The sequence below is a fragment of the Homo sapiens genome, chromosome 7 (assembly GCF_000001405.40).
Source record: "Homo sapiens chromosome 7, GRCh38.p14 Primary Assembly".
NCBI lineage: Eukaryota > Metazoa > Chordata > Mammalia > Primates > Hominidae > Homo > Homo sapiens.
This window is the reverse complement of record NC_000007.14, coordinates 123,111,469-123,128,153: the sequence shown is the minus strand read 5'-3', so window position 1 is coordinate 123,128,153 and position 16,685 is coordinate 123,111,469. Positions and strand designations below refer to the sequence as shown.

At 33.8% G+C, this 16,685-nt stretch overlaps 1 protein-coding gene across 7 annotated transcripts in view; it reads left to right on the top strand.

The window, feature by feature from the left end:
- The window catches only part of SLC13A1 (solute carrier family 13 member 1), an 86,441-nt gene extending 71,818 nt beyond the window's left edge, over nucleotides 1-14,623 (top strand). For 6 of the 7 annotated variants that reach the window (XM_047420754.1, NM_022444.4, XM_011516516.4 and 3 more), the window contains 5 exons: nucleotides 2,479-2,585; nucleotides 4,919-5,028; nucleotides 8,912-9,073; nucleotides 10,546-10,683; nucleotides 12,499-14,623. In XM_047420754.1, coding sequence (XP_047276710.1) covers nucleotides 2,479-2,585; nucleotides 4,919-5,028; nucleotides 8,912-9,073; nucleotides 10,546-10,683; nucleotides 12,499-12,636 — 655 coding nt within the window. In that variant the 3' untranslated portion in view covers nucleotides 12,637-14,623. 7 annotated transcript variants of the gene reach the window in all.

Here is a 16,685-nt window from a genome sequence, read left to right as displayed (position 1 = left end):
AGGAATTTCTGAAGAAATAATAGGACTGATTTTAAAAGCTGGTGCTAGAAGCTAGGTCAGAGTTAATTTTATATCTCAGTGTCTTATATACCAGTAATCAATTGCTGAGTTGTGTGAAGTGAGGGGGAAGGGTATAGCATAATTTTCTAAATTAAGGACCATCCTATATGTCAATATAAATAACTCAGTTGTGAGATTTGTGTTCCCAATCTATCTTTCACTGAACTACTCTAATTTCTAAATTCAGCACATGTCTTACTTGGACTTCCTGTCTCAAATCCCCCAGCAAAAAAAAAAAAAAAAAAAAAAAAAAAATTGTATTTTGGGGTAGAAACCAAAATTGTTTAGGTCATATGTATTTTGCCCACATACAATAAAGAAATTCTTCCCTCCCTGAATCAGAACCTTCTGGTTTTATAGGCATTGTCAATGTTTCTGAAGGGTGCGAAGTCTGAGTCCAAATTCCTAATGACCACACAAGTCAATATGGTGGTGTGTTTTAAAGCATCAGCTTCATTTTTATAAACTTTTTGATTCCCTTAGAAATAAAACTTTTCATTTTGAGAGGTTTAGACATTCAGTTATTTAAATCAAGTTATTATGTAATATTTAATTAATATTTTGTGGTTTTGTGGTAGGATCTAGATCAACATAAAAAATAATGCTTCCCCCTTTTAAAATCCAACTTCTGTCATCCTAGACAGGGAGAGTCTTTATCTAAACACCAGTGCGTAAGAATTAAATGAAATCAGAGATAGCTAATAAAGCCCAGGCAGAAATCCCAATAGGTAATTCAATATAATCAGCTTCCAATTTCTGTTTCTTATGCGAGGAAACAGGAATTGTTTTGTTTGTAGCAGGAAAGCAGTGTATTGGCTATGAGCAGGCACTCATGCCACCTACAATTCTGAGAGAAAACAATAAGAAAGGAACAAAGGTTTGAGAGAGGATGGGATTTTAAAATATAAATCTAATTGGCAAACCCAAAACAAATAAAATTTATATAAGCTTAATAGTTTCTAATACTGAGACAACCTAACTGCATTCCTGAGAAACTAAAAATAAGTTATAATATGATAAGAATAGTTTTTAAAGTACTTTGAAAAGAAATTATTTCAGTATTTATGCCTTGATTTAATTTAATGTATATATTTTGTAGGACATATTTGTTATGTAGAGTTTCAGGCATTAAGAATTTCTAAAGCTAACATGATGTATCAAGATTTATAGCTACCACCTAATGTTTTCATTCCATCTGTTTGTACCTGGACTGAATTCAATGTGTCTTTTTATATAAAACGAAATCTGGTTACATGATGCCTGGCCCAATTTGCCAAAAATACAACCAAAAATTATAACTGAAATAAAAGAAATAAGGTATAATAAAATTATAAATATCGGTCCAGTTTGTAAGATAAATTATGGTAAGGTAGATTTTTAACTAGTAATGAAAGAAAATGTGTCTATACTTAAAGAAAGTAGACTGCTTTAAAAATTGCTAGATTGAGAAAGATACGGCATTTCTTTGGCTTTTTAGATTTTTCAAATAAATTATAGAAGTAGAGAAGCTTCGGTAGTGTATACATATTACTGAGTTGCAAGATAGTAAAAGAATCTTTAGCATGGTACATATTTCTTCTCAGGCTACAGAAATGCACTAGTTAATATTGCTGACTTTTAACACTAAATGCTAATTATTAATGCCTATTTCAGTTATATCTGGTCTCCAGGTTCTTTCCTGTTGAGGCTTCTGGGAATCTGTCTTATTTGTTACAATGGTCTGGTGATTCTAAGACCCCATCTGTTCCTGAATCAGTCTTAATTTATATGGTGATCATTTGTGAGCATTGGCTAAACCACTCCAACAATTAATATTCTTGATTGAATTTCATGGGGTGCAAAAAATTAAGTAGGTTGCTTTCCTTTGTATGATATGGTTAGAGCTTATAAACACAGAAGCAGGTGTGATATCTCAGAAAACAGATCAATTCCTTTTCACAATTTATAGAAGAGCTTTAGAGGAACACAGAAATATCACGCCTTGCCACAATTTAATAGAAGGATGTTATAAATCAATTATATGGGGCTTTCCATGCTCTAGCAATGTTTCAACTTCAAATCTTGATCAATATTATTAAATTAAATAATTCAAAGAAGAAATTGTTTAACAAATCTGTAAGCTTATCTAAAAGGGAAATTTGCCACTTTGGCCTAGTATGTCAGCATGTGTATACGTGGTATTGAAAATAAGAAGAGATATATGGGAACAATAAGACTATGGTCTGAGATTATTGTTTTTAGTGTTGTGTCATTTAATCGGGAATCCATATATTTTAGGGCAGATTATTGAGGATAAATAACCTACACCACCTACTACTGATAATAACCTATTACTGATATGTTATTAGCAAAATTGGTGTTTTAGCTCATTTAAGTTCTTGATGCTATTTTTAATACATGTATTTGTCCCTTTTACAGGTACCCTGGTTTTGCTACAGATTCAACTGTTGCTTTACTTATAGGGCTGCTATTCTTTCTTATCCCAGCTAAGACACTGACTAAAACTACACCTACAGGAGAAATTGGTTGAGTATCATTTATAATTCTGCATAAATTTAACAGAAGAGCAAAAATTACAAAATTCCATTGGTTTCGCTTGGCACCTAGAGCAGAAAGAAAGTCTATGCTGGCACAATCCCTGGCCTAGCATGCCCTATTTGCAAACTGCAATGCTGTCTTCAAGCCAGCACAGCTTCCACCTTCAAGAGAGATCGTCTTACTTTGCAGAAGTGAGAAGTAGATTTCCTTTTGTATCATGGCTAGGGCTCTGCTACAAGCGATACTATTTGACCCATGGTAAACTCACTTCAAAATTAATCTTACTATTGGCAAACAGAGGAAAAAGAACTTGGAAGACACTGCTTCATTATGATACCTTGGTAATAAATGCAGAGGATCTAAAAAGGTGATGAATTTCAAGAGAAAGAGTATTTACATTCTCAAAGTAGTTCTGGAACAAAAGCTAAATAAACCTCACATAGCCATATCCTAGGATCACAGCTGAAATAAAAGGGCCAGATGTGGTGGCTCACACCTGCAATCACAGCACTTTGGGAGACTGAGGCAGGAGGATCACTTGAGGCCAGTAGTTTGAAACAAGCCTTGGCAGCATGGTGAGACCCCAGCTCTATCAAAAAATTAAAAAAATTAGCCAGGTGTGGTGGCCAATCTGGAGGCCAACGCAGGAGGATCACTTGAGCCCAGGAGTTGGAGGCTGTAGTGAGCTATGATTGTGCCACTGCCCTGGGCAACAGAGGGAGACTCGGTCTCTAAAAATAATGATAGTAATAAAAATAAAGAAAAGGTATTCTGTGACAGCATTCATTGTATTTACAACACATGAACAAAGAAGTGTGCACATTTGCCTGAGCATACCATCCTCTCAACACACACACACACACACAGACACACACACTTTTTAAACACAAGATTCATCCATATCTTTGCTTTACAACACAGCATGTTTTGAGTAGTCAGATTCCTATCTTGTCAATGTGGGACAACTAATTTGTAATTGTCTGGAAATTAACTAGTAGACTTGTGGTTTTGTTTGTTTGTTCTTATGGGGATGGAACTGGGATTTATGTAGTTGTGTTGGCCCACTTGACTCTTGTCAGAATCTATAAATGACTAATGTATCAGATTTCCAGGACATATGTGACCAGCACAGCATAGAAACAAATGTACTTTGTTTTTCACTTGAGATTAGAATATCTCAATGTGTGTTAAGGAGGTGATGCAATATGGAGCATTGATTCCTATGGGACCCCAAGGACTCTGATCATTGCAGTCAAAGCCCTGAGGTCTGGCAGTGGCAAGTACTGAGGAATCCATGTTTGGCTTTAGCTTCCCTGGTTTCCACATCTGAATTCCCTCCCTTAGAAAGAGCCTTGCTCCTACCCACCTTTCTCTCTCCCCTCATTCTTCAAAACCTCTTCTCCCTGCTAAAGTCATTCATACAAGGCTTAAAAATGACAAATAATATATAAATATGTTAAATTTTAAATAAGAAGTACTTGTCAGAGATGTTTACATTTTAACAAGATATATGACCTTAAAGTAAGAAACCTGGTGACATAATTTCAGTTATCAGTGAGGATGGGTTTGGTTTGGATTTGGGGGAAGATGATAGGAAGGAAGCTTATTGGTAAACTTAAAATCTTACCATGTAGAAGGCTGCCTGTTATACACAAGTTAAATGGGCAGAATATGTCTCCAAATGAACTTCTTTATCAACAAAGCAATGGAGAGATCAGAAGCCAAATATAAAGAGAAATCTTTATGATAATCCTTTTATAAGCACTTTAAGAACCTCATAAATAATACTTTATTTAATCTGAATCTTGAATTATTTTTAAACTGAAATCTTGGTGAATCTATCATGATCCTCCTTATGACCTAAAAACTAATAAAATGTTCAAATATTAATGGATAATAATTAAAATGCTACAAGATGCTATTGGAACCAATGGAATATTATGGACATTTTGCATAGCAAAGAATATTATAGTCTAATGCACTGTGCTATTCACAGTTGGCAAAGATGTTAGTGGAATATAAATGAATGAGTGAGTGAATGAATGAGTACCATTATAAGTGACAATGTTATAATTTATTGAAATATATTCTATAATATTACCCAAAGGATTTTTTTAAGTTATGGAGTTTTCTCTTTTTTATAGTAGAATGTTCCACCTAGTCCAGGTGGAAATTACTCAAACTCCAGATTAATTCCCCTCTTTAAAAACAATATAGGAATATTACAAACTTCCTGTAAGATGGCTACTTAGGATGCTGAAGCAAATGTCATATTGTAATATTTTAAGCAATGTGTAACTGTAGGATTTTTGTTTTGCAGTTGCTTTTGATTACTCTCCACTGATTACTTGGAAAGAATTCCAGTCATTCATGCCCTGGGATATAGCCATTCTTGTTGGTGGAGGGTTTGCCCTGGCAGATGGTTGTGAGGTAATACTCTGTGTGTAAGATATTTAACAATTAACCAGACTGTTCAAAAGAAGAGCACAGAGACATTCAATCTTTGGGCATATTCAATTTCACTCTGTCATTTTAATGTTGCAAATTTTGCTAGCTATGCAGTGAATATACCACACAAATGAGATGAGTTCAGAGTTCAAGAAATATTACAGGCTGCAAGCATAAAACATAGTTTTTATGGTGCTCCAGAATGTCAAAAGAAATAATACAAAGAAGATTAAAATGTTTAATTCATGAAATAGTATTAGAAGGCTAGTAAGGAAAAATGTATATGAAAATATGTAAAGTGACTCCTAGTGAAATATACTTTTCGTTTGCTTATGCCTTTACCTTATTTCATTATGAATTTGAGTAGCTCTTGGACTTCAGTATATCATGATGCTATTGCTGATTTAAAAAAAAAGAGAATGAGAAATAATATTAGCTTTAAAGATAATTAGTAAATGTTTATTGAATAAAGTCTGGAGAAAAATTCACATAACCCTTTCTAACATTATATTATGTCTAATCTTAGTAAGAAATAAAAACACCATGAGATGTTGGTTGACTTTATTTGACCTGTCTGTCCAGTTGATATAAAGCAACAGTTTGGGGAGGCCCTCATCCCTTGCAATTGCCCTGGTCTTTGTAGAGTTGTTGGAAGAAAATTATCTTCTCCCAAATTTCCATGAAAATTAATTACTCCTAGATTAATTAAAACCACTCATTCTGGTTTTCATAGACTTATTTGAAATATTCAAAGCTTATGGCTCTTCCATTTCCTTACTCAGTCATCAAATTGAACAGAATGGTGAGAGAACTGTCATGTTCAGCCCTTTGGCTTCCAGGAGGTTAAATTTCTATACTACTCAAGACAAATCACTGTCTCTTCTCTTCTTGATAACTTATTGGAAGATACTCCTTTGCTTCTAACTTTATTGACAATTTTTCTGCACAGAGTTATGTGTCTGGATTGGATCCTAGACACTCAAAGTGATTTTGAAAGCATCAGCCAGACCCTAGCATACAAAATCTGAGGAAACGAAAAGGTGTGGACTCAGCCTGATGCACAAGGTTCTCTCAGTAGAAGAATTTGGGAACCCAGAGAGGGAGGTCTAGTTTGCTATAAAAATCTCAATATACAGAGCCAAATGTCTACAGGATACCCAGAATAACTCTACCTCTAAGTGCCCAGATTGAAGCCATGAGCTTCAAGAGTATGGCTGTGGACAAATATGCCCCTAAAAACTGGACTGTAAAAAATTTGGAGGCAATTAATTTTCAACACTTTTCTTTCAAATTGTAGTCTGGCAAGTGTCCAGAACCAGATACTCTTTCTAGTTGGGAACAGAACAGTGAAACAGCAACTACTATGGAATTCACCTCATTGCAATTACTTTTCTTTTAAATGCCCCTGGGTTTTTGTTTTAACATGATTTCTCTCTCATGAGCAGATAGACAGTTTCAAATTCTTATCAGTGAATATCTCCTCTTCAATTTTCATACATTCTTGAAATTTTCTCTCCTAGGTTAAACATGCAGGATTTATTTTTTATTTCAGATATCCATTAAAATTGCAATAACAACAAAAACATGTCAATCCATAAAGACAAAGACTATATGACAGGGACAAGAAGAGGCAAGAAATGTTTATCACATTTAGAAAGTGGAAAGAGGATATTTGAGAGGAACTGACTTTGTACAAATAGAAAAATAGTAAAATATGAAACATATAGGCTGGCAAAATGAAGAGCCAACAAGAAACATGCTGGTTATCCATAGCATACTGGCAGACCTCAGGAACTGGAGGCAGCAGATAACTCTGAAAGCAACAGTAAAAGCCAGAGCTGAATATGGAGGATGGTTTAAAAAGTGTATAAAGATCTATGGGCTTCCCAGATGCTTTCCCCAGTCCTGCTGTTGTTCTCTGTCCTCCGTGATAGAAAATTGAGATTTACTTTGTAGCAAAATTGAGCCAATGAGACACTGGCTCACAAAGAGATAAGAACATTAGAACATCAATCCAAAATGTTCAACAGTCAACTAACAGGCATTTCAGAAAAAAAGAGAAAAAAATAGAAAAGAAGAACATTTCCACAAAATAACACAAGAAATTTCTTAGAGCTAGAGACTTTGAGATTCTGGACTGAGAGAGCTACTGAGTACCCAATACCAAAGCACTTTATGTAGAATTTTGGAACTGTGGGGATGAAGATATGATTTCAGTGGCCTACAGGTAGGGGAAACAGTATGTAGTATAATCATTTCCACATCTAATTAGACATAGATAAAACCTATTCTTAAAGTATACCTATTCTAGGATTAATTTGTGTCAATGTGACTAAAATGGTGGATAATCTTTTTCTACCTAAAAGTCATAAGCAAAAACAAGCAGATAAACAAAAATACAAGCCAAAACCACACATGATATCTGGTGCTCACATCTAGGAATTTCTGTGCCAGCTTTTGATCTGAGGGTATACTGCTTGTAATTAGAGTATTTCTCATGCCACTTCTAGTTGTCATAAAGATTCATACATGCAATAGCTCACTGAAATTTCACAAAAGGAGGATTTTCCCTTCCATGTGGGGGAGAAACACAGAACAACATCCTTGCTAATCTGAGTATAGCCAGTTTTTCTGCACTATGTATAATGAATCAAAGGAGCAGAATATGACCAGGCTTCTAAAGAATCCAACTGGAAACCACAGGAAATGGAGTAATGGCTTAGAAGTGTGGAGTTATAATTATTTTGAACCTAGAATTCTACAAATGCAAAACAATAAGAACAGTGGGAACAGAAAAGAAAAAGGTTTTCAAGCATGCAAAGACTCTTATACCAATTCTCAGGAAGTTATAGAAGGAAGTGCTCCCCCAATGCAAAAGAGTAGATTAAAAAATGATTCCCACAAAGTGGGGAGGAGAAGGAACGTCATAATATTATAGTGAAAAGGGGTCCCAGAACAACAACAGTTGAATAGATTTAAAGGGAAACTAAGCCAAATGGAGCAGGAGGAGGAAATATTCCAGAATAGATATTTCTGTGAGGGAACATGAAAAGACATCAATTACCTGATATGTTCATCTATTTGTGGGGAGTTTTTTAGTTTTAATTTCAGATGAATTAGTGATAGGTACTTGGAAAGCTAAGCAAACAAAATAATGAGATAGTTATTCCTTGTGGGGAAGGGAGAGTAAACGCACTGATAGTATGCTAAGTGGTGTAGCTATGAACAATATTTATTTAATCATAGGGGTAAACATTAAATATTGATTTAAACAAAAATGTTAATATATGAATGTGGGGGAATGAAGAAACAAAAAATATATGTTTGGTAGATGGTGTAAGAGAGCTGAATTATCATGTAACATATTAGAAAGTCAGTAAATAATGTCTAAATTTTAAAAGTAAGCAAAAATCATAATTAAAATATTATTTTAAAAGGTAACTATGAATACCTAAATATAGCTAGCTATAAGTGGCTAATAAGGGTTGAAAGTTGTTGCCTCTGCAGAATATAACTTAGGAATAGAGAGAGGTGAATCAGAAGGGTTGCTCTTCTCTTAAAGCCCTCTATATGATCTATTAAAATATCCACATATATAAATTAGATAAAATTAAAATGTAATTGAAAAAAGTGGTAATACATTTCAAACTTTCTAAACCATGTTCCCAGTGTCAAAATAAGACTAAGCAATAGCTCCTTCCTACCAAAGCCACCCAGACCTACCAAACCACAGAAAAAAAGAGAGATTAAAATTATATTTTAGAAAGTGAGTTTTCAAAGGAAATAATGTTTTTTTATGGATTTTATTGTGTCTGATTACAAAGAATTATTCATGAGTAACAAATATTGCAAATTTGTTTTTTAGGAGTCTGGATTATCTAAGTGGATAGGAAATAAATTATCTCCTCTGGGTTCATTACCAGCATGGCTAATAATTCTGATATCTTCTTTGATGGTGACATCTTTAACTGAGGTAGCCAGCAATCCAGCTACCATTACACTCTTTCTCCCAATATTATCTCCATTGGTGAGTATCTCATTTATCCCCTTTTTACTCTTCATTAAGAGCAGTACTCTGCTTCGGAATGCTGGTTTTCATGTTGTGGTATGGAATCTCTTTTGGTCTAAATGGGCCTCCTGTAAGTAACTTACAGGGTGGTCTTTATTTGTATTAATGCTTTCAGGGGACCTTCACTCTAGGTAACTGTTTTTAAGTTTTCATGTTCAAGCAGCATGATCTTAAGTGAACAACTTACTTTTTCTCAGTCCAGCTTTTTTCGTTATAAATAAGAGAGAGGGTCAGACTAGATCCATTTCAGATGTAAGACTTGGAATTCAGTGTTTGCTGGTAACTTTATTATTTAGATCTCTACCGCTGACACTTTTGCCTCTCAAACATTGTTCCTAAATTTCTGAGAAGTGGTTCATATAAGTGATTTGCAAATGAATGAAAAACTAGGCTCACACTTCAGGCTTGAGGCTTAAATATCTTAGACAGTTTTCTACTGCCCAGGGAAGAATTTTTAAAAAGTAAGTGGGTTTGCTAAAAGAGAGAGGGAAAGAATGTCTTTTCTTCTTTTCTCAATCTAGGTAGCAATTACAAGAAACAGCTTTAAGTAAAATGTTTTTCTTATTGGGATGGACTGGTTTGGTGAAAGGAAAGCACTTTAAGAAGGATTGTCTTTCTGGAATTATGCTGCTACAAGCTCAAAGGGCATATGTTGGTGTTCATAAGCTGCTGATTGAAAGTAGAAAAAATGTAGGCTGTGTATATTGGTACAATATCATTTTGTGTTGTTTTCTGCTTTTTTAAAATTTCTCAACATGGAACAGTTAGAAAATTATGTGTTGATTTAAAAATAGTAGTAACTCTTCTTATATGATGAACCCTAAGCAAATCTTAAATTGCATATATCACAGAGGCAGTAAAGTTATTAGTGTAATGAGAACTGCTGGAGCCACAGGGACTTGAAAACCTACCTGAGCTCTGTTGCTCACCAGCTGTATGCTCGGACAAGTTACTTTAGCCTCTCTGGGCCTCTGTTTCTTTATGTTATTTGAGGTTATAGTAGCCATCTCATAAGATCATTGTAAAAATTCAATATATATATAAATATGTGACATTTATTATATATTATAAACTATATTATGTGTAAATATATGAATATATACGTATATGTAAACATTTAGCCCAACACCTAGCAATAGATAAGTAATAAATGGTTGCTGTTTTTGTTTAGTTTCTGGAATAAATAATATTTTATTTTCTAAATGAACTGGACTGTAATGTTTAAGTGGGCATCTGTAACTGTATCAACAACAAGAGGATGAGATATTTTCTTAAAAATATTCAAGTTATAACTGCAATAATTTATATAATTTTATATCATTAGGTTCCAACATGCTTCTGGGAAGGCTTATTGTAATACTTTTTTTTTTTTTATGTTTCGTGTCTACCCTCAAAATTTTACTTAGACTCTTTTTTATCTCTTACAACAGGCCGAAGCCATTCATGTGAACCCTCTTTATATTCTGATACCTTCTACTCTGTGTACTTCATTTGCATTCCTCCTACCAGTAGCAAATCCACCCAATGCTATTGTCTTTTCATATGGTCATCTGAAAGTCATTGACATGGTGAGTTAGCTGAAAAAAATACTATCAAATCCAATACACATCTTGGTGTGTGCCATGTCTTGAATTATCTTCCCTTTTATACACCAATCAACCACCAGGAAAAGCAGGGCCTGAATTCTGTTTATGAATGCAGTGTGCATGACTAATCACAAAATTGTTTTTAAGAGTGATTATCAGAAGTGAACATGCCATTAAAACTTACGGTCACAAACAGAGAGATGTTGAATGCATCATTAATGCTTTGGACGAAGGAAAAGAGCACTGAACATGCTCCACACGACAGCATAAACCTACAAGTCAACACTAGGATCCAAACTGATCCAGGCAAAAGGAAAAAATAGGGTTAAAGAAATCAGCAATCAAAACAACACTGTGATTTTCTATCACAAACATTTATGCACCAACATTTCCTCTGAATGAGACACTGAGTCAGTGCCTCACTGATGAAGAAGTATCTTTCTTGTTGTGATTTCAATACCAGGACCTAACGTGAAAACACAAGCAAACAATAAGTAAGAATTTCACTGATAAAGCATGCACATTTTTGCCAAATACAAAAGTACTGGCAGAATATTCAGTACTTTATAAGAACTGGCTTGAGAATATTCTAGTAGTTTCCAAATCTTCATCACCAATTTCCAAACCAACCCAAATGATAATATAGCCAAAGTAAATTTAGTGAGCTTCCTATGCAAATACAGTTCCAAGATAAGTCCCAGCTCCCTTTCTTTCACACAGACTGCTGTTCCTAAGCTCCTGCAACATAAACATTCTAGAACTGCCTCTACACAAAAATAATATGCATTTGGTAAGGAAAACGTGCATAATAGAATATAAGTAATGCCTGATGTATGTGTATTAAAAAGGATAAAAACAGGATTCTGGGATAAATAAGTGGCTGGCTTGCATGGACAGGAAAGAGGGCATCTGTTATCACCCTTGCTAGGTATTCCTCTTTTGCTTCAGGGCTCCATGTTTTAATGCAGAGAATGCAGGAGTAAGCAAACTTTCTCTGTAAAAAGGCAAATGATATTTGAGGCCCTGTGGGGCCATATGTTCTCTGTCACAACTACTCAACTCTGCCATTGTATCATGAAAGCAAAGAAAATATGTAAACAAATAAGCGTAGTTGTGGTCCAATAAAACTTTATTTACCAAAACAAATCAAGGGCAGTAATTTGCCAATTTTTATTTTAATAGATACAAAGCAACTCTGAGATTGTTTAATGGACTGTAGAATAATGATATAAGAGCTAAAACCATGAGAATGCTAAGAAAGATAATAGACATGGCATAAAATCTCAATAAGAAAATATCGAAGGTTAAATTAACAATTACGTTGAGTGAATATAAAAGATACAGTTGCCATATGGCGTCCTGAATTTTATTCATTGAAATATAAAACCACAAAACTGAAATTCTGCTTTAACATGAAATGGCAGATTTCTAAGGGATTTTCCTCTAATCAGAATTACTTAGGTATATTCCTAAGAGGAACTTCTCTGAGAATCTCCAACTCAACGATGTTTAGTTGGAGACAGATTTTTCTCTTGCTACGAATGGAGAAGAACCCCTGGATTTAAGAAATGACGAGTTAATGGGTGCAGCACACCAACATGACCCATGTATACATATGTAACAAACCTGCACGTTGTGCACATGTACCCTAGAACTTAAAGTATAATTTAAAAAATGACAATTTATACTAATCATTTAGGATGCATGTAAATTTGGCATATACATCCTACAATAGGATTCTAATCTCCTGTAGGCTTTCTTCTGGGACACTGACATTTATGCTCTTTCCTGTTCAAGGTTAAAGCTGGACTTGGTGTCAACATTGTTGGTGTTGCTGTGGTTATGCTTGGCATATGTACTTGGATTGTACCCATGTTTGACCTCTACACTTACCCTTCGTGGGCTCCTGCTATGAGTAATGAGACCATGCCATAATAAGCACAAAATTTCTGACTATCTTGCGGTAATTTCTGGAAGACATTAATGATTGACTGTAAAATGTGGCTCTAAATAACTAATGACACACATTTAAATCAGTTATGGTGTAGCTGCTGCAATTCCTGTGAATACCCGAAACCTGCTGTTATAACTCAGAGTCCATATTTGTTATTGCAGTGCAACTAAAGAGCATCTATGTGCCTTCATCAAGAAGCCCATGTTTTGAGATTTTGCTCATGAACCATCTGCAACTTGCTTCATCATAAGAATAATTTATAACTTGACCTTCAAAGAGATTAGAGCATTTGTTTCATCTTACAGTTGGAGTTCAATGTAACATTTTAAATGCAATTTATTATTTCAGAAATTTCCCATGAAACTAAAAATAGAAAATAAGATATACAAGTTAATTCGGTACTTGGATAAATCATTTCTGCATTGTTGTTCCAGAGAATTTGCTGAGAAATCAAAGCCATGGTCATCTGGTGATGAAGAGAAAAGTTTAATCTAAATGATATGTGCATTTCCTCATTTAAAAAATCCAATTGGATTATTCTTAATATATACATGTAATATGAAAATTGAGATTGAAGCACTAATTCCAAAATTATGGCTGAATATACTAAATAACAGAAAAGTTACAGATAAGAATTTATTTCTACTGAACTCTATAGTTAGTGTAATATAATTCATATTTTTATGATATTGGCACACTGAGAAATTCATTTTGTAGAGCTATGGATAAGGCTTGCTATGATTTGCACTATTAGTACAGTATAGTTAGAAAGGAAAGCTGAACACTATAAAACTATTAACATATTTTCGTATATGAGTAACAACTTTGCTTAAGTGTTTATCTTAGTTCAGAAATACATAATGTCATATGTTAAAAATAAAGAGATGTAGAAATCTAAATGAATTATCACTGTGTATACAGACAGAAAAATCACATAACTCTGGTGTGTTAACATTGCAATGAAAAAATGAAAAAAAGAAGGAAAAAAGAATAAGAATGAAAACTGCTGACGTATTACAAAACAGAAAAATAAATGATTTAAAATCAAATCAAAAAGAAAAAACTAAACATTTAAACAAAAATGGGATAAGAATAGTCTTCTAGAAGTGAGGATGCGAAAAAGAATGAGTTTCCAATTACCCTGATGTGACAATTACACATTGTAGACAGGTAGCAAAATATCACATACACCCCCAAAATATGTACAAATATTATATATCAATAAATAAATTTTTAAAGAGTAAGTGCTATTGGCATTCCAAAATTCAGCTAAAGGAAAAATGATCAAAAACAAAGTAAGGTGCACAGTTAGCAAAAGATGCAGATGTTATATCACAGCAATTCTCATGCTAAAAATACAACAAAAGACAAAGCAAAAAATAAACCTTTGCTTTTTTTTTTTTTTTTTTTTTTTTGAGACGGAGTCTCGCTCTGTCGCCCAGGCTGGAGTGCAGTGGCGGGATCTCGGCTCACTGCAAGCTCCGCCTCCCAGGTTCACGCCATTCTCCTGCCTCAGCCAAACCTTTGCTATTTTTAATCTTCGTTGGCACTTTCCAGCTGTTACTGACCTTGTCATTTTTTATTCAAATAAGATTATTTACAAACTTATTCTTGAAACTAAATATAGTAAAGAGGGTTTTTAAAATAATATTTAACATACGAATTATTAATTGGCCATGTTCATTATTTATCTATGTTTATTAATGGGCCAATGCAAAAAATCATTTTTTCAAAGAAAAATTTGTCCATGTAAAGCTTAAATTATAATATTGCTGCTTTGTATAACTCTTCTATGTTTATTCTATTCATTTGTTCCTTTCCCTACCATATTTTACACATGTATTTATAATCTGTAGTATTTATTACATTTCTGCTTTTTTCTAGTCATTCAATTTATCACTGCTGAATTGCATCAGATCATGGATGCATTTTTATTATGAAAAAATAAAATGACTTTTCAAATTATAATGAGTAAGTTTTGGTCTCAATAAAATAATGCAAACATTTCAGCTTGGATAATTTTAATGAATTACTTCCAATAGCTGCTAGCTGAGTATGTGAAAAATAATACTTAGTGAAAATTTGTTTAATTGAGTGATATAGTTCTCTTACCACAGCTCTATGTTTGATATATCAAAAATGACTTAAATGACCCATTTCACATTTGTCCCATTTACATTAATGTTCTCAAGTTATTTTAGTTTGAGAGTTGCATACTGTCTTTGAAAGTTTCCAGAAAGCAATTCTAAACAGATGATCAAAAATCCTTTGTCCTCCCACTCTATGGTAGACAGTATTTTTGTCATTATCCTGATCATTACTTAGAGGTTAACTAGAAATCTTTGTCACTTTGAATTTCAGCATCTTACTTAGGATTGGATCTTGTCTAGATGATAGCAGCAATTCTACTAAGTGCCTACCTACTGTCTGTTCATGCAGGCACTTGGAAGGCTGCACTGGCATATGTATATCTTTCAGTCACCTCAACTGCTGCTGTACATGTCAGCATCTCTACAATTCAGACTTCTTTTCTCTCATATGTGTGCAGTATTTTCACCATGGTGTCCAAACCTTTCTTTTTTCAGCCTGGGAGGTACATAATTTTAGACAGTGGTTCTAATGAGCATTATTAGCAAAAATTGACAAAACGACATCATGGCACATTCATTGTATCTTGACATGTGTACCATGTATTATTATGTGTCAAAGAGTATTAGATATATTATTATATCTCTATCATGGCTAAATATAAGAGTCCTTGTGATGACATTTCAGTTCTAAAATTTTATTGGTTTAGTTAATAAATTTTATTTTTGCTTGAGTATGTAGATTTTACCAAATGAAATGTTTTTAAAAAATTTTAGTAGAGGAAGGATTGGATTAGGAATGCAAGAGTAAAACTGAACAAACTGTATCAGTTTATTATTTTAGCATAATCTAAAAAATGAAATAGTTAAAATTATTCTCTGGGGGCAGTATTAATCATGTTATTTCTAGATGAATCAAATTTTTCAGTAAAAACTTACTAGGTTAGTTTCGGGAATGCAAATATCAAAATCTCAGGTCCCCAACATAGAGGCAAGACCATATTAATCTAGAAGTAAACAGTAAAAATAATATATAAGGGAGGCAGAAATTAAAAGGTTTTTCCAAATATGGGAATCTCTGTCTGGAAAGAAAAAGCAGGGTTTTATAAAAGAAATAAAGGGAATTTTCTTACTGATAGTATAGTGGTACAGATACAGCATGGGATCTTTTTGAAGCTAAATAATAAGAAATATTGGATAACATAATTGCGTCTACAAGAAAAAATGGAAGTCCTCAGAAGACAAAGATGAAGCACAAGCAAGAATCCAGAGATTTAAACAAGAACTGAAGGTGGTAACTGCTGATCCCTAGAGATCTCTTAATGGGTTCATAGGAATAGGAGACAAAGCTAGGGTCTATCCAAGTTAAGGGTGGATGGAAACCAATATAGGGTTAGGATCCCAAAGGACTATATTCTTAGTGAGAATGTGAGCTAGGGAAAAATCTCACCACATAGAGGAAAATATCAGGAGAACTTTCATATTTTGGTTTACACACTAGGTGGAGGAAGCCTAAAGTCTCAATACCAATGTGTGTGTTGGGGGCAGGGCAGAGAACAAAGCATGGGAAAGAGTTGGACTTAATCTGAAACCCTATTTTAAAATAATTTTGAATTGGTAGTATTCTCAAGTACCTGGGAAAAGAAGGATGACCTTTTTCAATCAAGGGCTTAAAACAGTACTAAGGCTAAACTTCATGTGCGATTTTAATCAAAACTTACAAATTATATCAGAACATATTGCACAATGTGCAGGAGCCAAGATAACCGAAAGAAAGAGATCCAAAGTACAAGGGCAACATATGTTAAGACTATCACATATAGAATATAAAATGAGGATGTATAATGTTTGGAAACATACGTATGGTAAACAGAATTCTAAAAATGTACCCCTAAAATTTCTGTTTCTTGGTTATTCAATCAAACACTAACGTAGGTACTGCT